Below are 26340 nucleotides of genomic sequence, written 5' to 3' on the forward strand. Positions count from 1 at the left end.
CAGATCAAGGCAGGAGAGAGAAAAGGAAGCTGTCCCCCTACCCAGGTCAGGGAGTCCAAGGCCAAAGGCACACGCCCATGGCTCTTTCTCTCACACACTCAGATTATGATACGATTAAAACCCTTCCAAGATCAGGCATCTGCCCTCAAGAAAGGTGAGAGGATCTGCGAGCTGCCTCTAAAGCTAGAGTCCCCCCTTTCCTCCTAGGTGGAAAATGAACGCATTATCTCTGTCTATTGGGATGTTTCTAATGTTTGGAAAGAGGAAGAAAAAGCTCAGGAAGACAGACCTGGGGGCTTGATAACCAAATCCAGACCCGCTCTAATTCATTTTCCCCACCGTGGGAATACAGGATCAGACTTGTGATCAGTAAGTCACGGTGCCGGCAGAAGCAGTGCAAACAGAAGAAAGGGAGCTGGGGACACTTACCTGGAGATTCTGACCCTCCATCACATCCCCACAGCCTACGAGGTGGGGTCCTGTGACAGGTGGAAAGCCCACAGACTGGTTGACCCCCATTTCATCACCGGGTGAATCAAATGACTTGCCGGAGCTGAACTTGCTGGCTGGATGGGGGAACACAGAACAGCAGCCGCTTGCTGGTTTCCTCTCGGCTTCCTGTTGCTGAAATGTGTTATCTGTTACCCTGTCCACCCCTCCTTAGCACCTCATCCTCCCTGCCGTCGCTCATTAAATCTTGCACCTACTACTTTGCTACATTGCCTTTGCCAAGGTTGGGGGTTGTTTTTTATTTTGCTAGGGTGAGGAGATGGCTGGAAGACGAAAGAGAGCCATCCATACTCCTTACAGCCCATTAACGTATGTTTATCCAGCAGCTACTGCTGCAGAGACTGTCACACAGACCTTGCTCTCCTGAGGCTAATAGTAACCACTAAGATCCATTATTTACGGTTAGCACTGTACTGACCTCTTTATAGACACTATACACATTGCATCATTTCATTGTCTCAACCACTCTCTGAGGTAGGTACTTTTTTTTTTGAGACGGAGTCTCGCTCTGTTGCTAGGCTGGAGTGCAGTGGCATGATCTTGCTCGCTGCAACCTCCGACTCCCTGGTTCAAGCGATTCTCCTGCCTCAGCCTCCTGAGTAGCTGGGATTACAGGCACGTGCCACCATGCCCAGCTAATTTTTTGTTTAATTTTTAGTAGAGACGGGGTTTCGCCATGTTGGCCAGGATGGTCTTGATCTCCTGACCTCGTGATCTACCCACTTTGGCCTCCCAAAGTGCTGGGATTACAGGCGTGAGCCACCGCGCCTGGCCTGAGGTAGGTACTATTAAGACCTTGTTTTGGCCAGGCACGGTGGCTCACGCCTGTAATCCAAGCACTTTGGGAGGTCGAGGCGGGCAGATCACCTGAGGTCAGGAGTTCAAGACCAGCCTGGCCAACATGGCGAAACCCCGTCTCTACTAAAAATACAAAAATTAGCCGGGTGCAGTGGCAGGCACCTATAGTCCCAGCTACTCAGGAAGCTGAGGCAAGAGAATCGCTTGAACCTGGGAGGCAGAGGTTGCAGTGAGCCGAGATTGCACCACTGCACTCCAGCCTGGGTGACAGAGTGAGACCCTGTCTCAAAAAACAAACAAACAAACAAAAGACCCTGTTTTACAGATGAGGAAACTAAGGCATAAAGAGGTTGAATAACCTTCCCAAGTTACCCAGTGGCAAACCCATCTCTGCCTAATCCGGAAGCTAAGTTCTTAACCATTACTGATCCTGCTCAGGGGGAGATTCAGTTATACAGATGCAAAGTTACTGAACTAAGCTTTTTCTTAAAACCGTTTGATTTTTTTGAGAGACAGGGTCTTGCTATGTTGTCCAGGCTGGTCTCAAACTCCTGGGCTCAAACAATACACCTGCCTAGGCCTCCCAAGTAGCTGGGATTACAGGTAAGAGCCACCACACCCAGCTTTTAAACTACTGAATATGGGGTAGCACTTATGCTGGGCCTTTAAAGATGAGGAAGTTGAGAGGCAGGGGAGGAGGAAGAAAGCACTTATAGAAAAAATCCTAAGAGGAAAAAAAGCAGAGGTAGGGAAAAGTATGATGTGGGCAGTAGATCAAACAGATGCTTTCAGCATGACAGGCATGCACACTCCTGACTAGATAACATTCCTACGGCTCAGCTGCTTCCTAAACTGGTGCCAGTGCTCCCCTAACCCTCTTCAGTTTCATCATCTCCAACACCACCATCATCATCATACTTACTCTGTGCCAGGAACTATGTTTAGTGCTTTTCACATATTATTTTATTTAATTCTTTCAACAGTCCTCTGAGATACGTATTATTATCTCATTTTACAGATGAGGAAACAGATGCTTGACAAAGGCAATTTACCCAATAACATATGGCGAGCAGAGCCAGAATTCGATCATGGACAATGTGGTTGTAACATGAGAATGTCAAACTTCCCAGTGTCCCTTGCCTTGTGATTTGGGTGGGGCTGACCCCTCCTTAACCTCCGGAGTTGAGCCTTAATTAACCGGAGCCAATCAGTCCTTCTTATTCTCCGGTCAGTATTTGGATGAAAAGTGCGCGTATGGCATTAGGTTGGTCCAATAGGCGTAAAACCCGGGACTTTGGTATGACGGTTGAGGGGAGAAAAGTTATTTCCTGTGTTGGACTAGTGTGATGTGCAGATGTCACCTGTCAAGTGGCCTTGAACCACAGCAGCCACTTTTGCCACCTTGAGGATGAAGATACCCATGGTGGATGGGAAAACCAGAAGAATCACAGAGAAATAGAGGCCCATTTGTGAAGACATTAAGAATCCACAGATTAGACCATACCTGAAACCTGACCCACTCCTAGACTTTCTAGTTACATGAGTCAGTAAGTTCCCTTTCTTGGTTAAACCAACTGAAGTTAGATTTCTTTTGGTTGTAACCAAAAGCATCTAAATGGATACACACTGAGTCTGGGGTCCACATGTTAATGATTAAATTATTCTGCTTCCTTTAAGATGCTCTGGGAGGGATTCAGGAGTTCCAGTCAAAGCATGTCTGGGTAAGAAGAGACCTAAGGGAGCATTTCCGTCAATCCCCTCCACAATCGTTTTCCCCTTCTCCGCGTACATACACGTGCTTTACCAGGGAAGACACCAAGGTCCGGAGAGATTAAGTGAGCTGCTCAGAGTCACAAGCAGAACGATGATAACAACACACAGTCTCCTGGTTGTCAGCTGCCACTTGTCTGGTCTCAACAATCCTAACATCATTCTATTTAACTTTGAAAGATAAGAAATTATTTTCTTTCTACTACAGATAGCATCTTCATTTTGTTTCTTTTTAGCAAATTTAAAAACAAACCCAATTCTTTTGAAAAAGAAGCTAAGCTCCTGATGTCAGTGGGTTGTTCAGCCAGAGTGAAGGGGGATGAGCTCTGCTTAGCCTGAGACCCTGACCTTTCCCCATCGCTTGTTGTTGAGGTCTGCAAATGGAAGACCTACTGCTGGGGCCACAAGACACCTGTCACTCACATGACAATGAAGCAGCTGCAAGTTCAACTGTCATAAAAGAAAAGCAGATAAAAGACCACAGGAGTTCTGAGAAGAAACAGTGCTCCTTTAGCTTGGAAGTAGAGAGCAGGGGAAGATGGGAAAGGCTCTTTCAAGCAGGAGAGAGCAAGCAAAGGCACGGTAAGAAGGAAGCTTGTGTGAGAAACAACGCAAGGTGAGAAGAGAAAGTTGTGACCAGATTTGGGGAGGAGCAGTCCCTCAAGTGCTAAGCTAAAAAGTTGGAATCTACTCTGGAAATGAGGTCATGTCCATGAGAGATAGTCTGAAAGAACCACATTGGAGGCCCAGCTCATTTGGTGCCTAGCTTTTTTTTTTTTTTTTTGAGACAGGGTCTTGCTCTGTCTCCCAGGCTGGAGTGCAGTGGCTCACTGTGGCCTCACCCTCCCAGCTCAAGTGATGCTCCCACCTCAGCCTCCTGGGTGGCTGGGACTATAGGCACTTGCCATCACACCCGGCTAATTTTTGTATTTATTTGTAGAGATGGAGTTTCATCATGTTGCCCAGGCTGGTCTCAACCTCTTGGGCTCAAGCGATAATCCTGCCTTAGCCTCCCAAGGTGCTTGGGATTACTGGAGTGAGCCACCGTGCCAGCCCTGCCTAGCTTTCTTATCTTATGCAAGTTATCTGATCTCTCTAAGCTTGATTCCCCATCTGTACAATGGGAACACTATCCATCCTCACAGGGTTGCTGTGGAAATAAAATGAAATAATGCATTCAAAGCATCTGGTGTGGTACCTGACTCTTAGGAAGCATCCAAGAAATGTGCTGATTGAGTGAAAAGTAGAAACACTAGGGTTTGGCCACTGAGTGAATCTGGGGAGTCAAGAGCCAATAAGTCAGGTTTTAAGATTGGGGAACCAGGACAATAGTCCTTAAGCTTCTTATGGGAACAGATTTTTGTCTCACTCTGCATAGAGAACAGCACTTGGGATAGGAATCAGGATAAGCGGACTTGGAAATGGCCAAACAGAAGACAGCAGAACTCTCTGGTGCTCCTGGAAAGTTTCTGGGAAGATCATCAACTAAATTGTTTGGAAATAAAAATTACAGAAGCTAATTGGCCAGAGTGAAGCTAACACGCAAATGAATCTTTATTTCCTGGACTCACATTGACTGATGTCCAAATAGGATGGAGAGATGGAAAAATCCAATCTGAGTTGCAAATTTTGCCAAAGAGACATTTACACAAAGCATCCAGAGTCATTTCTAATAAAAGTCATGGAATTTTCCAAGGAAATCAGTCTATGTGTCTCTACCTTCTTTTGCTCACTTTGTCTAAATAGTTCATGGTAGTACCTGTCCAGAAGCCTCTCCATCCACTGAGGCCCAGTGAAATCTCTAGTCCTCTGTGAAGCTTTCCCAGGTCCTTCCAACCTTTCCTCCTATCATCTCTGATCACTGTCCACATCCATTATCTGGTAACCAATCTTAGACTACTTTAGGGCAGCTCTTGGATTAACACCTATTCTAGCAGTTTTCAACCAGTGACTTGCCTGCAACAGTGGTCCATAGAGAATCTAGATCTTAGGTTCCTGAACCTATTGTCACAATCACCTGGGAAGCTTTTCAAAAATGTATATTCTGGGGGCCCCTATTTCTAGTGATCAATTCGTTTGTAAAAGCTTCCCAGGTGTTTCTGATCAGCAAAGTTTGAGAACCTCTGGTCTAGACTTTGATTAGAAATGTCTCTGGATGAACTTTTCTTTCATTCAGACACGTATGCATGCAGCAGACGCTTACTGAGTATATACTGTGTTCTGGTCCACATTTTCACGACTACGATTTCACTTGCTATAATCCCCATGGCCACCCAGAAGCATGTTCCTATCACTAGACTTAATGTAGTGCCCTGCATATAGCTGGTCTCAATAATTAATTTATCCAATGAATACTATTTAATTTTTGGCACACTTATGCCTCATCTCTTCAGATCTACTCCGGGGGTAAAGATTGGGTTTTATATTTTTTTGTAGACCAAACTGTCTATCTGCATGCTTTCCCCATATAGTTGGGACTCAATAAATGTTCCTTCATTTGGCTATGATTTAAACCCATCTCAAGTCTTCTTTAATCTTTGTTTTTGATCTAAAAATAAGGCTATATGAAATAATGGGGGACAAAGGTTTTGATGACTCTGAATTCTACCCCTGTCACTTATTAGCTGTGTGATCTTGAACAAGTTCCTCAAACTCTAAGCTTCTGATAATTTATTCTCACAACAGAAATAATAACTATGGCCAGACGCAGTGGCTCATGCCTATAATCCCAGAACTTTGGGAGATCAAATGGGAAGGATTGCTTCAGCCCAGGAGTTCAAGACCAGCCTGGGCAACATGGCAAAATCCTGTCTCTATAAAAAAATTAAAAAAAAAAAAAATTAGCTGGATGTGGTGGTATGCAACTGCAGTCCCAGTTACTCAGGAGGCTGAGGTAGGAGGATTGCTGGGGCTTGGGAGCCGGAGGCCACAGTGAACCAAGATTGTGCCACTGCACTTCGGCCTGGGTGACAGAGCGAGGTCTTGTCTCAAAAAGAAATAGTAACTATGGGCCGGGCGCGGTGGGAGGCCGAGGCGGGCGGATCAGGAGGTCAGGAGATCGAGACCATCCTGGCTAACACGGTGAAACCCTGTCTGTACTAAAAAAAATACAAAATATTAGCTGGGCCTGGTGGCGGGCGCCTGTAGTCCCAGCTACTTGGGAGGCTGAAGCAGGAGAATGGCGTGAACCCGGGAGGCGGAGCTTGCAGTGAGCCGAGATCGCGCTACTGCACTCTAGCCTGGGCGACAGAGCGAGACTCCATCTCAAAAAAAAAGAAATAGTAACTACTCACGAGATTGTTGATGAGGATTAAATAATGCATGTAAAGCACTCGATGGATAGAAGGTACTATAACCATAGGAGGCAACTATAATTATTTTAACTACATGCCTCTCAAGTTCCTTATACGTAAAATGGATACTTCGTAAGTGAAAATATTGCCTAGGGCCTGGTGCATTTTCAGTGCTTATAAAATGTTAGGAACTAATTAACAATGCTATGTCTCTCTTTCCTAGCCAAGGTCTCTCATTTTTCCTGGATTAAGCCCTTTGGCAAAACAGATTCTTTCCCAGCAGCCTTTTCAGGCCTCAGACACCCCTACCAAAGCCAGTGTCTACTGAACAGGCCCAGAGGAGCCCAGAGGGAATGGATGGGGCTTAGGTTGCAGCTGTCCTCTCCTGCTGGGACCCTGTTTCTGGTGAGCAGAGGACTGCTGCTCTGCCAGCTGTGTGACACTTTCATCACTGGCTATTTCAAGATACAGTCCAAGATAAGCACTTCTCTTGTGCTTCCTTTCAGACAAAGCTCTCTGAAGACTAAAAGCTCATTGGCCTGACCTTTGGTCTCTGGAGGAAGTGAGGAAATATCATCCAGCTCGTAGACAATGAAGACACCAAGCACTCGAGGGATGAGATTGAGCAACAAGGTGGCAGAGCTAGAGAAGAGGCCTGATAAGAGTGTTCCAGAGCATTAATAATTGTGATAAAAATAATCTCTGTCTCTTGTGAAGGTCTTACAGTTTACAAGGCATCTTCACACATACTAGCTTGTTGGCTCCTCAACACTCCTCACCTGAGACTGATGGAGCAACAGTCATCTCCGTTTTAGAGAGGAAGAAACTGAGTCCCAGAGTTGTATGATTTGCCCAAGGTCACAGAGGGTGAGAGGCAGAGCTGGCCTAGAACCGGGTCTGCTGACTTCGAGTCCAGGGTAATCGCGGATCGGAAAGAAGGAATGGGGACCCTTCTTCCACCGCCATGAAAAACAGAAAACTGAGAGTAAGAGTAAAGTACACAAAGGGTGGAGGAGCATAAAGAAGCCCGGGGTTCAGGGATGTGAGGCTGCAGGGTGAAGGTAGGGCCGAGGAATCAGGGTAGGGCTGTGGGGTCCAAGGTGGGGCTGCGGGGGCTGGGTCCTGGGACGGGAGCTCAGTGGGGATTCCAGGGGCACTGGCCGTTAAAAGTGCGAGGCGACCGTGGGAGGGTCAAGGGAGCGGGTGGCTACAGGTGTCTGAATAGGAAACGTAAAGGACGAAGATTAATGTGCAATTCCTATGACTGAGAGACGCCGAGGCCCCAAACCGGGCCAGAATACAAAAGTCTGCAGGAAGCTCAATTGAGATATAGGTGTTTTCTCCAATCAAACTTACCCAGTCAAGCTGATTCCTCAGAAGCAGCCCCAGACGTTTAACTCGACGGAAATGAGAAACGACCCATGAACCCGTGGCCCTTTGGTCGTCGTAGTTTCCAAGGCTCAAAATGGACGCTTGGAAGCACTTCTCGTTCCTCAATCTAGAACTACAATTCCCGATGTACAGTGCGCGAGATTGCGCATTACAACTCTAAAACTACACCTCCCAGAGTTCTACGCGACCGTCCAGCCCCGCGTGGTCGTGCGAAACCGCCCAAGGCCTGGGATGCGGTGTGATTCCTCCCCCTGGTGGCCTGAAGAGGTGCCGCCGCGATTTCTGCTCTCGAGCGGAGGGTTTTGCCTTAGTCCCGTGCGTAACCCTCCGCCTCACCCTCCTCAAATAGTCCTCAGGCGTGCCTAGAAATGGTCCCCGCTTCGCTTTATTCTCAAGGAGGTGGGAGGAGGTTGGAGTTTGTTTTGTGTCTTCTGCACACTTTGCTTCCTGTAAGAATAATAGACTGATCATTCAAATTAAGGGGACATTCCCTACCAGCCTGCATCTGTTGACACCTGTGATTTTCCATTGTCCTCAAAAGACTCCCTGGCAGAGAAAGGGGAGGAACCCGAGTAATCTGCTGGGCCGCATCCATCCCACATTACTGTCTAATGCTGGTTCTTAGCGACACTGATGGACAAGATACCGCTCCTAGCCTCAACAGAATCACAGTCTAGCAGAGAATTCAGACAAATGAATAATGACAGCACAGAGCCGTGATCTCATGGGGAGACACAGCAAGCGTGGGAGCCTTGAAAAGGGGCCTCTGGCCAGGCTTGGGGGAAAAGGGCGGTGTCCGCAAGGCTTTTTAGAGGGAGTGATGTTTGTTAACATTGAGACCCGATATAAGGAAAGAACGTAGCCAGGAGTACAGAGACTGTGAAGGACGTTTCAGAGTATGGCATTAAGTTCAGTGCTGGCTGCAGCTAAGTGTGAGGGATGGAAGGAGAGTATTCTCGGGGGAGTGGGCGTTAGGCAGAGCCCATCCTCAGGAGTTCTGTAAACTTCTATAGGAAATTTGGATCGTTCAGGCAGCTCAAAAACGTTCAACGGCCCTCTACTACCTATGAAGTGAAGTCCCAACTGCTTAGCCTGACATTCAAGGTCTTCTCCAACCTGCACTCCCCCACGCCCCACCCCCCACCCTTCAGCGCCCCTCCTCTGGGAGCTTTGTTCATGCCTCCAAAGTTTCCGCCGACATCTGTGTGTGCCTCGCACATGTGAGTCGACTCACACTGCCTTGGGTATCTCCTGTATTAGAGGTCTTAACTCTTGACACATTGTGAGCTCTTTGAGGTCAGGTACTGAGTCCTGCAGTCGCCCCCTCCACCCTACTCTTGCAGCCCACATCCCCCCGAAACACCAGGGTCCAGAGTCCCTGCTTTAGGCTCTCCTCTCCTGCCGACACACTGTTGTCACCCCCATCCTTCCAGGAGCCAAGATAAAGTCATCAGGAGAGAGTGCTGGCAGCCCTGCACTGTGGTAATTAAGCCTCGGATCTCATTAAATCTGTGGCTGATGGCGGTGGCCACAGAACCTGAAAAGCTTAGCGCAGATCAGAGAGCGGCTCCCTTTGGCCCATTAATCCGTGCTGTGCAGCTGGCCAGAACACTCACGACAAGCCAGAGGTCCTTGGTCATGAGAGGGACAGCTGGAGGTCATTTCTTTCAGTCTCCTACTCCCAGACCAGGCCATGCTGGAGCCATTTGCTGGCCAGCTGAGTTTAAAATTTCCCAGGGATGGGCATGTCACCACCTCCTTTACCTCCTTTGTCACAGTTAGGAAGCTCTTCCTTGGGCACAATCAGATTCTTCCCTGTTGCAAAATAAAACAGTTGAGTTTAACTATACTTCCTTCCAATCCGGTCTTTTCTAGGATAAACAACCCAAATGCCTTTACCTTTTTAAGCAAATGGTTGATTTTCCAGCATTTTCATCATAGATCTCATCCTCCAGTAGCCCAAAGTTCCCTTCAAATCTATCAGCTACCATCCCAACTCTGGCCTTTACTTTGTTGCTAAATTGCTTCAAGTTGGTATTTGGGTGACCAGCTTTGGATTTCCTTTTTTTTAGGGGGGCGGGGGGGACAGAGTCTCGCTCTGTGGCCCAGTGGCGGGATCTCAGCTCACCGCAGCCTCCGCCTCCTGGGTTCAAGCAGTTCTCCCATCTCAGCCTCCATAGTAGCTGGGATTACAGGCACATTACCACACCTGGCTAATTTTTGTATTTTTAGTAGAGATGGGTTTTCATCATGTTGGCCAGGCTGATCTTGGACTCCTGGCCTCAAGTAATCTGCCCACCTTGGCCTTCCAAAGTGCTGGGATTACAGGTGTGAGCCACCACGCACCACCAGTGGACAAAACTTTTAAAATAAAGGTAGAATAGGTATACAATAAAGTATGTAATGGGCACTAAAGTATACAGCTTAACTTCTTAAAAACATTTGCTATAACTACCATTTACTTCAAAATGTAGGACGTTTCCAATATCCTGAAAGGTTGGCTTCTCAGTTGTAATCAATCACCCCCACCCATCCTCCAGAAGGAACAACTACTTTCCGTCTCTTATCATCAACTAGTTTTGAGAAGCAACATTTTTTAACTTTGATAATAACATTTTATGCTCACTGATAGCTGATACTTGTGTCGATGCCATTCCAGTCAAAGACCACCGGAAACACACCTGTATTAAAGAAGTTGTATTAATTATTCATTGCAGCAAGAGAGAAGGCAGGCAATGGGGAAATAAGGGCAAAGGGGGTGCATTTCTGTAGGAAGGTGGAAGAAAGAATTTACAGAATTTGGGCTTTTGTTAGACAATCTGGGGAGAGTTTAAGGAAGCAGGGCTTGGCTTTGGATTGGATGCTGTCAAGAGCAAGGGTAATTCTATGACTGGGGGTCTTGATAAAATGTATCTAGAAGGAGGGGAGGCTAGACCAAGGCTAAAGCTGTCATAGGTAAGAAGCAGCAGTCTCTCATTTTAGCACGGACGGGGGGTTGGTCTTTTTCATGGTTTGGACAATATCCATTTTTTGTTTGTGTTCAGACATGATGACAGAGTGGTCCTATTTGTGTTTTGATCCATTACAGTCACAGAGTGGCCTTGTCTGCTGTTGATGTTCTATGAAGTTGTTTATGTTCAACAGGACAAGGCCAAGTCCTGGCTGTGAGTGTCAGGCTGGCCTCTGGACTTTGGGGGCTACTTTCCTCTTTCTTACATCCCAACATATGGTGACGTCTCTTCTGGGCTGTATGCTTGGCATGTAGAAATGATTTGTCTTGGCCGGGCGCGGTGGCTCACGCCTGTAACCCCAGCACTTTGGGAGGCCGAGGTGGGCAGATCACGAGGTCAGGAAATCAAGACCATCCTGGACAACATGGTGAAATCCCATCTCTACCAAAAATACAAAAATTAGCTAGGTATGGTGGCGTGCGCCTGTAATCTCAGGAGGCCAAGGCAAGAGAATCACTTGAACCTGTGAGGCAGAGATTGCAATGAGCTGAAATCTTGCCACTGCACTCCAGCTTGGCAACAGAGTGAGACTCCATCTCAAAAAAAAAAAGAAAAGAAAAGAAAAAAGAAAAAGAAATGATTTGTCTTTGTGTCCTTGGGGACTTCCTAGTTAGTGGGGAAAAATGGACAAGAAAACAAATAGACACCATTATCAAGCACTCTAGTGAAGGGAGTGAAGGGTCTGGTCTCTGGAGACAGGCTACTGAATTTAAATCCCAGCTCTACCACTTACTAACTGTGAGAACTTGGGCAATGACTATTCCCTAAGCCTCAGTTTCCTCATCTGTAAATTGGAATGACAATAGTATTTATATTATAGAATTGTTTCAAGGGTTCAATGAACTAAACATGGATCACTGGTTACTTAAGCAGCTTGGACTTGGGAGGGGGCCGGGATGGATCCAAGTTTTGGGGCTTGAAACTTACACAGTTTTGGGGGGCTCTCTTTAAGAAAAAGAATTTTAGGCCGGGCACCGTGGCTCATGCCTGTAATCCCAGCACTTTGGGAGGCCGAGGCGGGTGGATCACCCAAGGTTAGGGGTTCGAGACCAACCTGACCAACATGATGAAACCCCCATCTCTACTAAATATACAAAGATTAGCTGGGTGTGGAGGCATGTGCCTGCATTCCCAGCTACTAGGGAGGTGGGGGCTGCAGTGAGCTGAGATCGTGCCACTGCACTCCAGCCTGGGCGACAGAGTAAGATCCACCAAAAAAAAAAGAAAGAAAAAGAATTTAAAAATATCTTTTTCAAAATTTGCAAAACGTATGACCTGGGAACACATTGCTAGGTCTCCTTCCAGGGCCTGAGAAGAGGTTCTGGAGCTAAAACTTCATTACTTTCTCAATAATTCTGACTGTGGGAAGAGACAAAGAGGCAAAATTATACAATAGCTTTATTCTTTTCAAATCACTGTCTTCAAACAAGCGCTGCCAAAATGTCCTTGCCCTTAGCTGAAAACTGCTCCAGTACTCTTAGCTCTTTCTTGTATTATAGCTTACAAGTCAGTGGGCAATGCACTAGTGATGGAGAAACTGACTTAGGTCTGGTTCTGCATATAGCTACACCTAGTCTTTATCAGCATTGGGACCCAAGTGGAGTTCAAATGAATCCTTTTTAACATCTTGTTAACAAGATGTGCTTAACAAAGGTCAAGAACAGGAATTGTCCTTCCTTACTTTGCTACTGTAATCATTCTTCCATTCAAAAAATATGTATTGAGGCCAGGTGCGGTGGTTCATGCCTGTAATCCCAGCACTTTGGGAGGCCGAGGCGGGCAGATCACTTGAAGTCAGGATTTCAAGGCCAGCCTGGCCAACATGACGAAACCCCGTCTCTACTAAAAACACAAAAATTAGCCAGGCACGGTGGTGGGCACCTGTAATCCCAGCTACTAGGGAGGTTAAGGCAGGAGAATTGCTTGAACCTGGGAGGCGGAGGTTGCAGTAAGCCAAGGTCGCGTCACTGCACTCCAGCCTGGGCGACAGAGTGAGACCCTGTCTCAAAAAAAAAAAAAAAAGTATTGAGCACTTAGTATGTCCCAGGCATTATGCTTGGCACTGCATATAAAGCAGTGAATAAGAGGGACCAATTCCCTGCTCACACGGTGCTTTCATTCTAGTGAGGAGAGACAGAGTTAAACAAACAAACAGGTGGAGCGTGGTGGCTCACGCCTGTAATCCCAGCACTTTGAGAAGCTGAGGCAGGTGGATCACTTGAGGCCTGGAGTTTGAGACTGGCCTGGGCAACATAGTGAGACCCTGCCTTATAAAAAATTAAAAAAGAAAATAGCTGGGCGTGGTAGTGCATGCCTGTAGTCCTAATTACTACAAGGCTGAAGTGGGAGGACAATTTGAGCCTAGGAGTTTGAAGCTGCAGTGAGCTACGATTGCGACACCGCATTGCAGCCTGGGTGACAGAGTGAGACCTTGTCTCTAAAGCAAAAACAAAAACAAAACTCCAAACAAACACATAACCAAGATAATTATATACTATGTTAAATGCTTCACAGGAAGTAGGATACTGCTTTGGTGGAGAATGAAGGGAGTGAGCTACTCTCAATAGGGTGGGAGGGAAGGATTCTCTGAGGAGCTGGCATCTGAGCTGAGCCCAAGCATACCTACCATTTATTGATTATCTCCTATGTGTCAGCCATGTCATTAGGTAACTTTCAAATACTTTACATTTAATCTTCCTGTGAAGTATGTCATGTCTTTTCCATTTTTCAGATGAGAAAACAGAGGCTCAAAGAGGTAACAGCGGACAGTGTTGACACCTGCCTCATAGCCCCTCATCCCTTCTCTGAGTTCCCTTGCCAGTGTGGTAGTTTTCAGCATGCTCAGGGCTCCACCACACAAGAGCCTGCTTCTCTTGGCTTCCTTGCCTGAGAGCTTTCTTAAGTATCTATGAACCAGGAGGAACAGGCGTGTTATGTATCCCAAGGGCAACCTTCAACCATCAAGAGAGTTGGTGCCTAAATGCCCAACCTCCTCATCTTCACATAGGAGAGTCTTTTCTTTTTCTTTCTTTCTTTCCTCTCCTTCCTTTCTTTCTCTTTCTTTCTTCTTTCTTTCTCTCTCTCTTTTTTTTCCACTTCCCCTTCTTCTTCCCCTTCCTTCCCCTCCCCTCCGCTTCCCTCCCCTCCCCTTCCCTCCCCTCCCTTCCCCACCCTTCCTTTCCCTTTAAATTAAGAAACAGGGTCTGGCTCTGTCGCCCAGGCTGGAGTGCAGTGGCACAAATATTGCTCACTGCAGCCTCAAACTCCTGGGCTCAAGCGATCTCCCCATCAAATAGGATGATTTCACACTGTCTCTCAGAAGGTCTCCAGCAGAACTGCGCCCAGGTGCTCCTGGCAGCAACCCGCACATTCACGCACCCTTTATTACCTTTTCTCTTCCCGGTCTTACTTTCTCCATGCCCTTCTTCTGCTTCCTGAAATTACCTCCACAATTTAGTTCCAGCACCTGAGTCTCAGGATCTGCTGATGGGAGAACTCAAGCTAAGACTAAGTGACTTGCCCAAGGCCACCCAACCTAGTGGCAGAACTGAAATGTGCAGCCAGGTCTGCCTGGATCACATTTCACAATCCTCACTGCTGCACCCCATGACAGTAAGCCTGAGATGGAGCTAAGCCTTTTATTTTATTTTATATATATATACATATATATATATATATATATATATATATATATATATATATATATATGGAATAGTTTTTTCTTTCCAACTTTTAAGTTTAAGGGGTACATTTGGAGCCTAAGCTTTTTAGTCTGGCTCAAGGCCCTTCACATCCTGACCCTAGCTGATCTTTTTTGACTTATCTCCCACCTCCTCATTCTTGGTCACCCCTTGCTCCAGGGACAGCAAACTGCTTGGGAACATAACGTTCTCCAACCCTGCCATGCCCTGTCACCCCTGCATATCTTTGCAAATGCTGTCTTTTCTGCCAAAATATGGGTTGAATCTGTGTGGTCCAGACAATAACCACCCTGGCCCCACTCCACCCAAAGAATGCCAAATGCCAGTGTCCAGCCCTGGGAAGGAACATGTTTGTGCCAAGTGCTCGGCACATCTGAGCTCATTCAGTTTGCACAATGATTCTGAGAGGTCAGTAGCTCCACCCTCAGTTTGCAGGTTCGGAAACCAAGGTACGCAAAGGCCAGGTGACTTACCCAAGGTCTTACAGTTAATGGCTGGCAAAACCAGGATTAAACTCAGATTTCCCTGTTCTGCCACCATACCTTGATGCCTGGCTGGAGGGAAGGGATGGGAACTGGGTTTTCTGAGGCTGCTCTCACATTCCCTGTCTGCCAAGCCTAAGTGTAGAGATGGGGGGCATCTGCCAAGGCAGCTGCCAGAGCCCTAGCTAGGTGGAGAAGGGACTACGGAGCCCAGAAGGAGGCCAGGCTGAGGGGGCTTCCTGCAAGGAAAAGAGCTGGTCATCCTGCTCACTCCTACCTGGGAGGGGGAAGCATTACCCTTTCTGCTTTCTGGCTCCTTCCAGGCCTTTGGGAGTTTACTTGGCCTCAACAATGTCCTGCTTCCCAGAATCTCTCATCAAAAATGATTCTTGGAAACTGGGCCAGTTCGGGGATGCCTAGAGGCCAAGGCAGGGCTGAATTCCTGCTCTTAATGTTCTCTTCCTGGCTCCCAGCATTGTTATCATCAAGTCTATCAAATGCCTGGTAAAGGGTTGCCAGCCTGCAGAACATGAGATGATTTGGTGAGCACCAAGTTCTCAGTAGTTTTGGAGAAATTGGATGGGGTTGCAATGGGAGTGGGGGTGGAAACCTTGCCAGCAATATCGTGCCAATCTCTGCTTAAAATTTCTAGGGATACTGCTTAGCCTGACATAGCACTGGTTTTGGGTACAGGGGCAGGGCAGAGAGGTTGGCAGCAGATGGGGTGCAGCATGTGTAGTAGGGTAGGGTGTTCTTAGGTCCCCAGGGGAGTGTTTTCCTTCCATGATCAGATCCCATTGTAGGCGGCAATGCCTGCTGTGAGCCTAAGAAAATTATACAAACATGGCAGGTAAGGTGGGGTCAGGGGACCCAGGGTGGGGGCAGGAGTGGTGAGGGGCAGTGGGCAAGGCTGGAGGGGAGGGAGGTATAGAGAGGCCTCTGCTGCAATAACTGTGAGCCCTGGCCAGTGATGAAGTCACCATTAGTGCAGTCTGAGTTCTGGGAACCAGGTGATGGAGTGTGTTCCAAGAATGGACTGAGGGCCGGGTGCAGTGGCTCATGCCTGTAATCCCAGCACTTTGGGAGGCTGAGGCGGGTGGATCACCTGAGATCAGGAGTTGGAGACCAGCCTGGCCAACGTGCTGAAACCCCATCTCTACTAAAAATACAAAAAAATTAGTCCGGCATGTTGGCACCTACCTGTAATCCCAGCTACTCGGGAGGCTGAGGCAGGAGAAATCGCTTGAACCCGGGAGGCGGAGCTTGCAGTGAGCCGAGATTGCGCCATTGCACTCTAGCCTGGGCGACAGAGTGAGATTCTGTCTCAAAAATAAATAAATAAATAAATAAATAATAAAAAGAATGAACTGAGGCCAGGCAAAATAAGATAAGAAAAAATAAAATAAAATAAAATCCCTCTGGGATTGCTTGCGCCTCCACAACAGAAGTTGCAGGCCTTACAGAAGCCCTTCAAGATCTGGATCAATTTCCCTCAGCCAGGCAGATTCACACCCCCTTCACATCCAACGTGACCAGCCGGTCCCTCGACACACATGCGCTCAGCCACCTCCACGCATTTCATACCCAACGTGACCAGCTGGTCCCTTGACACGTGCGCTCAGCCACCTCCATGCATTTCACACCCAACGTGACCAGCCGGTCCCTAAACACATTTCACACCTAACGTGATCAGCCGGTCCCTAGACACATTTCACACCTAACGTGATCAGCCGGTCCCTAGACACCCATGCGCTCAGCCCCTTTCGTGCATTTGTTTGTGCTGCCCTTCTCCCTGTCTGCTTCCTGTCTCCTCCTTCAAACCCAGTGAGATGTCACTTTCTCTGGGATGTCCTCCTTGGCTGATTGCTCTGTACTCCCAGGTGCTTCTCTAACACTTGTTGGCATCCCCAGGACAGTACACATAACCCTGCAATGAAGTGACCAGAGTGCAGGTCTGCCTCCGCATGTGACCGTGGGCTCCTGGAGGGTGAGAGTACCTTCTTATTCATTTCTGAATAAGGCCTAGCACAGCACCTGACACGGTGGGTATTGGTTAAAAGATGAGGGGCCAGCCCAGGTAACATGGCGACACCATGTCTCTACAGAAAATTTTTTTTGAAACAGAGTCTCACTCTGTTGTCCAGACTGGAATGCAATGGCCTCCTGGGTTCAAGTGATTCTCCTGCCTCAGCCTCTTGAGTAGCTGGGACTACAGGCATGCACCACCACACCACAGCGGGATAATTTTTGTATTTTTAGTGGAGACAGGGTTTCACCATGTTGGCCAGGCTGGTCTCAAACTTCTGACCTCAAGTGATCCGCCCACCTCAGCCTCCCAAGCACTGGGATTACAGGCATGAGCCACAAAGCCCGGCTCTACAAAACTGAAAAAAAAAAAAAAAAAAAAAAAATTAGCCAGGTGTGGTGGTGCGTGCCTACAGTCCCAGCTACTCAGGAAGCTGAGGGGGGAGGATCGCTTGAGCCCAGAAGGTGGAGGCTGCAGTGAGCCATGATTGCTCCATTGCACTCCAGCCTTGGTGACAGAGCAAAAGTCTGCCTCAAAAACAACAACAACAACGACAACAACAAAAGAATGAGGGGCTGAGTAAGAGGTATAAATGCCTTCAAGGTTCAACCAAGTCAGTTAAATTGGCCTAAGACAATAGGGAGCAGGAGGGACAAACTAGACAGTGAATGACTTGTGTGAAGGGATTCAAACTCAATGAAAGAAAATTGGGGAGAGGGTGGCAGCCCGTGCCTCTAATCCTGGCTACTCAAGAGGCTGAGGTGGGAGGATCGCTTCAGCCCAGGAGGTCAAGGATGAGTGAGCTATGATCACATCTATGAATAGCTATGGTACTCCAGCCTGGGCAACAGAGTGAGACCCAGCCTCTACATTAAAAAATAATGGGGCTGAGAGCGGTGGCTCACGCCTGTAATCCCAGCATTTTGGGAGGCGAGGCGAGCAGATCACCTGAGGTCAGGAGTTCAAGACTACTCTGACCAACATTGCAAAACCCCATCTCTACTAAAAATACAAAAATTAGCTGGGTATGGTGGTGAGCGCCTGTAGTCCCAGTTACTCGGGAGGTGGAGGTTGCAGTGAGCCAAGATTGCGCCACTGCACTCCAGCCTGGGCAACAGAGTGAGATTCTGTCTCAAAATAATACTAATACTAATACTAATACTAATAATAATATAAAAAATAATGTTGGCCACATGTGGTGGCTTATACCTGTAATCTCAGCACTTTGGGAGGCCAAGGAGACTTGATCACCTGAGGTCAGGAGTTCGAGAGCAGCCTGGCCAACACGGTGAAACCCCATCTCTACTAAAAATACAAAATTATCTGAGTGTCGTGGTGCATGCCTATAATCCCAGCTACTTGGGAGGCTGAGGCAGGAGAATCGCTTGAACCCAGGAGGTAGAGGTTGCAGTGAGCCAAGATTGTGCCTCTGCACCCCAGCCTGGGCGACAAGAGTGAAACTCCGTCTCAAAATTAATAAATAAATAAAAAGTCATCAGGCTCCTGCTTTTAGGGTCCTACAGTCAAGATACTATTTTTAAAAAAAAAGAGAAAGAAAATTGGTGGGTGAAACATAGTCTCTGATAAAACAACAATATGCTAGTATTTATTGTATGCTTACTCTTTGTTAAGAAATACAGCTCCGTGGTTCCAAGCGTGGACTCTGGAAACAGGCTGCCGGATTTGAGTCCTGGCTTTCCTGCCTGTTAGCTGTTGACACTTTGGTCATGTCATTTAACCTCTCTAAGCCTCAGTTTCCTCATCTGCAAAATAGAAAGTATAACAATATCTACCTTAGAGGGTTGTGAGGATTCAAAGAGTGAATAGTAAACAGAAAGCACATAAAATAGTGTCTGGCCCATGGAAAACATCCAGGAAGTGTTGGCTGTTATTGTTCCTTGATGGTGAGTGTTCATGGAAGGCCTGGCTGAGAAGGTGACCATAAACTGAGCCCTGGACATGGGAAAGGGGCCACCCCTGCTGAGCTCTGGGCGAAGACATTCCAGGCAGAGGGAACAGCAGAGGAAGGCCCCTGAGGCTCTGCTGGGTGTGAGGGCAGGAAGAAGGCAGTGGGGCTGGAGCCCCGAGCAAGAGAGGGCAGAGGCGAGGGCCTGGAGGAGAGGGAGGGGCCAGCGCTTGGCGGGCCTTCTAGGCCGCGGAAAGAAGTCTGGATTTTATTCTAAGTATGATGGAAGGCATGAATATTATTATTATTATTATTATTATTATTATTATTGCTTATTATTGTTTAGGTATGGTGAGGCCAGGAGATCAGGAGATGACTACTATTGAAAAGAAGTTTGTGGCAGGGCGCAGTGGCTCGCACCTATAATCCAAGCACTTTGGGAGGCCGAGGTGGGTGGATCACGAGGTCAAGAGATTGAGACCATCCTGGCCAACATGGTGAAACTCCGTCTCTACTAAAAATACAAAAATTTGCTGGGCATGGTGGTGGGCGCCTGTAATCCTAGCTATTCAGGAGGCTGAGGTAGGAGAATCACTTGAACCCGGGAGGCGGAGGTTGCAGTGAGCCGAGATCACACCACTGCACTCCAGCCTGGGTGAGACAGAGCCAGACTCTGTCTCAAAAAAAAAAAAAGAAAGAAAGAAAGAAAAAAAGAAGTGTGTTACACTCACAGATCCCAAAGGGGGCATGCTATGCATGGGAGACACATGAGGAAACACCAGGGTCTGTCAGGTGGCAGAGGGGAGAAAGGGTGGGCAAGAGCCTTTAGTGTGATTTTGATACCAACCACAGGTTGTTGGGCTGCCAATGCAATAGAAATTGACATGAGGCCAAAAGAGTTTAACCAGACAAGACTTCATTGGAGCTTATGCTTCAGCATAAGGGAGGCAGCACAAGAGAGCGAGAGAATTCCCTGGCTGACTCTCTGAAAAGAGCTGGCTGGGATTTTTTATTAGGCAAAGCATGGGAAATGATGGTGGGTAGGTTATGCAGGCTGGGCTGGGCAAAGCATGTGAGAGGTAGGAGATGCAGGTCAGCACATCCGGTTGGATGGTTTTCTTGAGTAATGGGCCATCTGGTGGTGGTCTGACCAGCAGCAACAAACCTGTAAATCAGTTACTCTACAATATAGAATGGTGACTTTCTTTTTTTATTTTTATTTTTTGAGTCGGAGTCTCGTTCTGTTGCCCCAGGCTGGAGTGCAGTGGCGTGATCTCGGCTCACTGCAAGCTCCGCCTCCCAGGTTCACGCCATTCTCCTGCCTCAGCCTCCCACGTAGCTGGGACTATAGGTGCCCGCCACCACGCCCGGCTAATTTTTTGAATTTTTTTAGTAGAGACGGGGTTTCACCATGTTAGCCAGGATGGTCTCGATCCCCTGACCTCGTGATCCTCCCACCTCGGCCTCCCAAAGTGCTGGGATTACAGGCGTGAGCCACCGTGCCCGGCAGTGGCGACTTTCTTTGTTTGGCTAAAGCCTTGGCGTTAGCGGGGATGGTGTCAGCGAGGTAATGGTATGGGTTTTATGATCAGTGAGAATGTGTGAAAGAATGCTCTAGTGGGGGTGAGCTGAAGCCAAACCCCATTCCCACTCTGTCTAGCTTCCTTGGAAAGGAACGGGCAAGGCAGGGTAAGCAGGCTTAGCATTTTCTAGTTTGAACACTGTCAGCTCAGGGGATAGGGGCTTTCCCTAGTAGTCTGGTACCTGGCTCTGGGGTGATGAGGGCCGGAGAATCGTGGCCCTGAGTGTGAGAGCCCAGTAGAGGAGGTGGCATGGGGTGTGAGCTCTTGATTGGTTGCTTTGCACTTGAAAGGCATATTCAAGGGCCCTTGGCTTGCTCTCTCTAGGAACTGGCTAGCTCTGGGAGGGGCAGTCTTTCCAGGGCAGGCCCCAGTGAGACAGAGCATTAAAATACAGGCAATAAAAAGACAATGGTTAATACAGTGTCAAAGCCAAGGAGAGAGTGGGCTTATATTTTACCAAGATCCTCTGGCTGCTGGGAGGAGAAAGTACTTTAGTGAGGCGAGAGGAAAGCAGGGACCAGAAGCCAATGCAATGATCCCGGGTGAGCAAGGCGGCTTAGCTTAGGGTGAGGGCAGGGGAGGTGGGAGCGAGGCTGGTTTCAGGGTTTCTTTGAAGATGAGGCTGATGACCATCCAACAAGGAGCCTTTCAGATTACAAGAAGCAACTTGAGGCTCATTCTATTCTTATTTCTGAGATGCACATTTATGCTTCCTCCCCTACTTATGAATTGTACTATCTCACTCTTCTTTTTTTTTTTTTTAGCTCTGTCACTCATGCTGGAGTGCAAGGGTACAATCACAGCTGACTGCAGCCTCAACTTCCCGGGCTCAAGTGATCCTGCCACCTCAGCCTCAAGCAGCTGGGACCACAGGCACGTGCCACCATGCCAGGCTAGGTTTTTGTTTTTTTTTTAAGAAATGAGGGGGCGTCTTGTGGCCGGGCGTGGTGGCTCACGCCTGTAATCCCAGCACTTTGGGAGGCCAAGGCGGGTGGATCACTTAGGGTCAGGAGTTCGAGACCAGCCTCAACATGGAGAAACCCCATCTCTACTAAAAATACAAAATTAGCTGAGCGTGGTGGTGCATGCCTGTAATCCCAGCTACTCGAGAGGCTGAGGCAGGAGAATTGCTTGAACCTGGGAGGCAGAGGTTGCAGTGAGCCGAGATCACACCATTGCACTCTAGCCTGGGCAACAAGAGAGAAACTCCGTCTAAAAAAAAAAAGGAGAGAAAAAGAAATGGGCGGGGGGGGGTCTCACTATGTTGCCCAGGTTGGTCTTGAACTCCTGGGCTCAAGTGACTATCTCACTCTTCTGATGCTAATGGCTTATTAAAGCAATTTAAGGAAATGACACCTCCAGGATTAGAGGTAAACATAAAGTGTCCAACATAGCGTCCAGTATATAGTAGGTACTGAACAAATCCACTGCTTTTTCTTCCATAAGGGAAAGTAGACTGTGGTTCAAGTATGGGCTTTACCCCACACTGGTTGGGTGACCCTAGACAAGTGACTTCTTTCTTTCTTTCTTTCTTTCTTTTTTTTTTGAGATGGAGTCTCACTCTTGTCACCCAGGCTGGAATGCAGTGGCGTGATCTTTGCTCACTGCAACCTCCGCCTCCTGGGTTCAAGCGATTCTCCTGCCTCAGCCTCCTGAGTAGCTGGGATTACAGGCGCCTGCCACCACGCCCGGTTAATTATTTTTTGTATTTTTAGTAGAGACAGGGTTTCACCATGTTAGCCAGGCTGGTCTCGAACTCCTGACCTCGTGATTCACCCGCCTTGGCCTCCCAAAGGGCCAGGATTACAGGCGTGAGCCACTGCCCCCAGCCTGGACAAGTGATTTCATCACCCTGCATCTCCCTTCCTTAATCTGAAAGCAGAGATAAGAGGGCCTCGCTCTTCTAGTAGTTGTGAAAGTTAAGTGAGGCAAAGTATGTAAGCCCCTTGCAGGGGCTCCACCAATTATAGCAGTAATTATCACATATTCAAGAATGGCAGTCTGGGGCCAGGTTTCCAAGATGGGGCCAAGACTCAGAGAGAAATGGGACAAAGCTCCCTCCATCTCCTCCTTGGTGCCCACCTCTGGGCCTGCTTCCCTCCAGGCCTGATCCCTGCCCTCAGCTCCCACCTCTGCTGGGCATCTTCTCAAAGAGCCAACAGACAGCTGTGTTCACTCTGCCAAGAGGCATCCCTGGGAAAGGAGGAGAGGAGAAAGAAATCTTCGTGTCTGGGCTTTGGAAAGCAGACTGTTAATTACCTGGGGTTGGCAGCAGCCTGCCTGTTAGGTAAACATTTGCCAAGCTGGCTCCATGCATTAACCCCTTGGTACCCAGAGCTGAGGTGTTCAGACGTGGGCTGCTCTAGAAGGGTCCAGAAACTAACTTGAGGGAGGCTGGGCACGGCTTCTGTAGCCTTCAAACAGGTCCAATTCAGGTGAGACATTCAGGAGGATGGCACAGAATGGCTTCAGAATCAGGGTTTGAAATTTACTTCACTTGGCTTGTCCCCAGACCCCTGTCCCAGGAATATGGGATGTTCCCCAGACCCCTGTCCCAGGAATACAGCCCCCAAAGAGGTGGCCAGGACTAAAAGCTCAACCTGCAGCTTGAGGTATGAACAAGGTCCTGTGTGTGAGGGGATGGACCAGGGATGCCTGGTCACCTTAATCCCCCCTGGCTTTCTCTGGATAACAGAAACTCACTCTAGAGGAAGCAGAGACCCACCTCCCAGAGGGAGAGGCCCTGGGTGGTGTTTAGGGGTGGCTGGTGTATGGTAGATGCACCTGACAGCAATAACTGAAGAAACAAGAGCTGCCACATGAAGGATGCTGAGGGAGGGTGCTATGTGGGGATGCCATATATATATATATATATATGTTTGTTTTGAGACAGAGTCTTGCCCTGTCACCCAGGCTGGAGTATAATGGCACCATCTCGGCTCACTGCAACCTCTGCCTCCCAGGTTCAAATGATTCTCCTGCCTCAGCCTCCAGAGTAGCTGGGATTACAGGCGCCTGCCACCCACCCAGCTAATTTTTGTATTTTTAGTAGAGATGAGGTTTCACCATGTTGGCCAGGCTGGTCTCAAACTCCTGACCTCATGATCCACCCACCTCGGCCTCCCAAAATGCTGGCACAGGCATGAGCCACTGTGCCTGGCCGAGGGTACTGTATAAACTGCATTTTTTTTGCAAGCGGTTGTGGTTCTCCCATCCAGCTTGCCACCATGGGACCATCCTGTATGTAAGCCTCCTCAAATAAATCCTATGTCTCATTTTCTGGCTTCATTTCTCTTCTGTAGCCTCTTGAAACTGGTGCCATCCCAGTGGAAGTCCATATGGGTCTGGGACAACATTAATTAGAGGTAGACTTGGTCTTAGGCAAGGTGGCATGAGGAGAAAGGTAAGGCAAGGTGGGCTCGGATTGACTATAATGATCAGTTGTGTATCTACCTGTACAGTTTGCTAAGCACTTTTCCACCCTTATCTCATCCAATGAGTCCCACCGTAAGCCTGTGAGGAGGGAATTAGCCTCCTGTGATGCAGTGGCTCAAATCCAGCCTGTTACTCACTGGCTGTGTGGCCTTGGGGCAATCACTTCACCTCTCTGAACCTCATCTGTAAAATCAGGGGAATAGCCATCTGCCCTGGCAGTTTTCTTGTGAGGCTTAAATGAAATTCTGGATCTAAAGAGCTCAGTAGTGCCTGACACACATTCAACTTCTCCCTTGAATTCCCTATTTTACAGAAGAGGAAAATGAGCCTCAGTGAGCTCCCAAATTATAATCCTCTAAATGTAAAAAAAAAAAAAAAATCATACAAATACACAGTAAGCACATGTCTCTGTTGTTTCACTTATTCATGAGGCAACTCTCAGGATGACAGAGCTGGTTCAGAGAACCCACTGATGGGAGTTGAGGAAGCACAGGGAATGCCAGAACAAGATTGCTAGTTAGATTCCAAATTGGGGAATGCTCTATAGTGCATGAACTAGAACCTTTAGGGGTGATCCCTATTGGTCAGAAGTCATTTGTATCACTATTGGACAAAAATCTGTTTTCTATACATTAGCACCATAGTTCTCAGACTTATTAAATGTTTGGGCCAGGCTGGGCGCGGTGGCTGACGCCTGTATTCCCAGCATTTGGGAGGCCGAGGTGGGTGGATCACTTGGGGTCAGGAGTTGAAGACCAGCCTGGCCAATGTGTTGAAACCCCGTCTCTACTAAAAATACAAAAATTAGCCGGGTGTAATGGTGGGCACCTGTAATCTCAGCTACTTGGGAGGCTGAGGCAGGAGAATTGCTTGAATCTGGGAGGCAGAGGTTGCAGTGAGCCGAGATCGCGCCATTGCACTCCAGCCTGTGCGACAAGAGCAAAACTCCATCTAAAACAAAAACAAAACAAAACAAAACAAAATGAAAAAAGTTTGTACATAGGGAGTAAAAAGTCAAACAAGGCCAGGCACAGTGGCTCATGCCTGTAATCCCAACACTTTGGGAGGGTGAGGCAGGAGTATGGCTTGGGCCCAGGTGTTAGAGACCAGCCTGGGCAACAAAGAATTCATCTCTAAAAAAGAAAAAAAAATTAGCCAGGTGTGGTGGTGTGGGCCTGTAGTCCTGGCTACTCAGGAAGTTGAGTTGGGAGGATCACTTGAGCCTGGGAGGTCAAGGCTGCAGTGAGCCATGATCACACAACTGCACTCCAGCCTGGGTGACAGAGCGAGACCCTGTCTCCAAAAAAAAAAAGGTCAAACAAAGTTACTTCCCTTTAGGGAGTCCTACAACACTTGAGGGCTTGTTACGCAATGCCCCAGTGGGAGGATTAAGGCCACACAGGCTCCTCATTGCTTCACTTCCAAGCTTTACAAAATTTTCCTTAACAAAGTGGTGTTGACAGGATGGGAAATGGAAGGATTGACCTTCCAAGCTCTGTCAGGATTACTTCTGAGTAAGAATTTCAAATCTTTTTGCTCTGAAAAGCCTAGTTCTGCTACCACTTCAGGTTGATGATAAGAAAATGAAAGCCCAAGGCTGGGTGCGGTGGCTCATGCCTGTAATCCCAGCACTTTGGGAGGCTGAGGTGGGTAGATCACCTGAGGTTGAGAGTTCAAGACCAGCCGGGTCAACATGGCAAAACCCTGTCTCTATTAAAAATACAAAAATTAGCCAGGCATGGTGGTGGTTGCCTGTAATCCCAGCCACTCAGGAGGCTGAGGTGGGAGAATCATTTGAACCTGGGAGGCAGAGGTTGCAGTGAGTGGAGATCGCGCCACTGCACCCCAGCCTGGGCGACACAGTGAGACTTTGTCTCAAAAAAAAAAAAAAAAAAAGAAAGAAAAGAAAAACCCGGGACCAGTTCTGGTGGCTCACATCCATAGTCCCGGTATAAGAGGCCGAGGTGAGAGGATCACTTGAGCCCAGGAGTTTGAGGCTGCTGTGAGCTGTGATTGTACCTCTGCGCTCCAGCCTGGGTGACAGAGTAGGACCCAGTTTCTAAAACAAATTTTAAAATGAAAAATAAATTTAAAAAATAAATAAAAAAGAAAATGAAGGCCCAGGAAAAGGGTGTGACTTGTCCAAGATCACATAGCCACGCCTAGAAGAGGAGCAGAGGCTAGAACCTACTTTCTCCAACCCCCGTCCCCAGGTCCCCTGGATGGCTTGCCTGGCCCTGCACCCTGTGGGGTCCAGGAACTGCTCTGCATCCTGGCGGGGGTTAGGGGGTTGTCTACAGGGCCAGACTGAAGTGTCTGCTGGAGTTGACTGATATTGCAGAGTCTTGGGACTCACCATGGCTTATAGTTATGTGCACTCAAGCGAGAGCTGTGACCTCAGAGCCTCTAGAAACCTTCAGCCTCCGCACTTGC

At 48.0% G+C, this 26340-nt stretch overlaps 1 protein-coding gene and 1 non-coding gene across 7 annotated transcripts in view, besides 4 other annotated features; one reads left to right on the top strand and one right to left on the bottom strand.

Annotated features, from left to right (window-relative positions):
- The window catches only part of PAFAH2 (platelet activating factor acetylhydrolase 2), a 38297-nt gene extending 30531 nt beyond the window's left edge, over positions 1-7766 (bottom strand). The window contains exons 1-3 of one of the 6 annotated variants that reach the window (XM_047421698.1): positions 7728-7766; positions 7151-7321; positions 430-566 (exon numbers count right to left, since the gene is read on the bottom strand). In XM_047421698.1, coding sequence (XP_047277654.1) covers positions 430-566; positions 7151-7175 — 162 coding nt within the window. In that variant the 5' untranslated portion in view covers positions 7176-7321; positions 7728-7766. Of the gene's footprint in view, positions 1-429; positions 625-7150; positions 7325-7727 lie in introns of those variants that run through there. The other 5 variants (XM_011541528.3, NM_000437.4, XM_006710670.4 and 2 more) reach the window with 5 other exon arrangements.
- Positions 3274-3785: an enhancer, noted in NCBI's record as "NANOG hESC enhancer chr1:26320062-26320573 (GRCh37/hg19 assembly coordinates)". NCBI's record gives its function as "activates a minimal SCP1, AML or CMV promoter by ChIP-STARR-seq in primed H9 embryonic stem cells {active_cell/tissue: H9 hESC(primed)}" and the evidence as "EXISTENCE:reporter gene assay evidence [ECO:0000049][PMID:30033119]".
- Positions 7512-7591: an enhancer, noted in NCBI's record as "active region_472". NCBI's record gives its function as "activates an Ori minimal core promoter by ATAC-STARR-seq in GM12878 lymphoblastoid cells {active_cell/tissue: GM12878}" and the evidence as "EXISTENCE:reporter gene assay evidence [ECO:0000049][PMID:35858748]".
- Positions 7762-7851: an enhancer, noted in NCBI's record as "active region_473". NCBI's record gives its function as "activates an Ori minimal core promoter by ATAC-STARR-seq in GM12878 lymphoblastoid cells {active_cell/tissue: GM12878}" and the evidence as "EXISTENCE:reporter gene assay evidence [ECO:0000049][PMID:35858748]".
- Positions 7862-7911: an enhancer, noted in NCBI's record as "active region_474". NCBI's record gives its function as "activates an Ori minimal core promoter by ATAC-STARR-seq in GM12878 lymphoblastoid cells {active_cell/tissue: GM12878}" and the evidence as "EXISTENCE:reporter gene assay evidence [ECO:0000049][PMID:35858748]".
- On the top strand, positions 15919-16002 carry LOC124900433 (small Cajal body-specific RNA 18). The gene has a single exon (XR_007067389.1).
- Positions 16003-26340: the final 10338 nt, after the last annotated feature.

This window comes from Homo sapiens, chromosome 1 (genome assembly GCF_000001405.40).
Source record: "Homo sapiens chromosome 1, GRCh38.p14 Primary Assembly".
Classification (NCBI taxonomy): domain Eukaryota; kingdom Metazoa; phylum Chordata; class Mammalia; order Primates; family Hominidae; genus Homo; species Homo sapiens.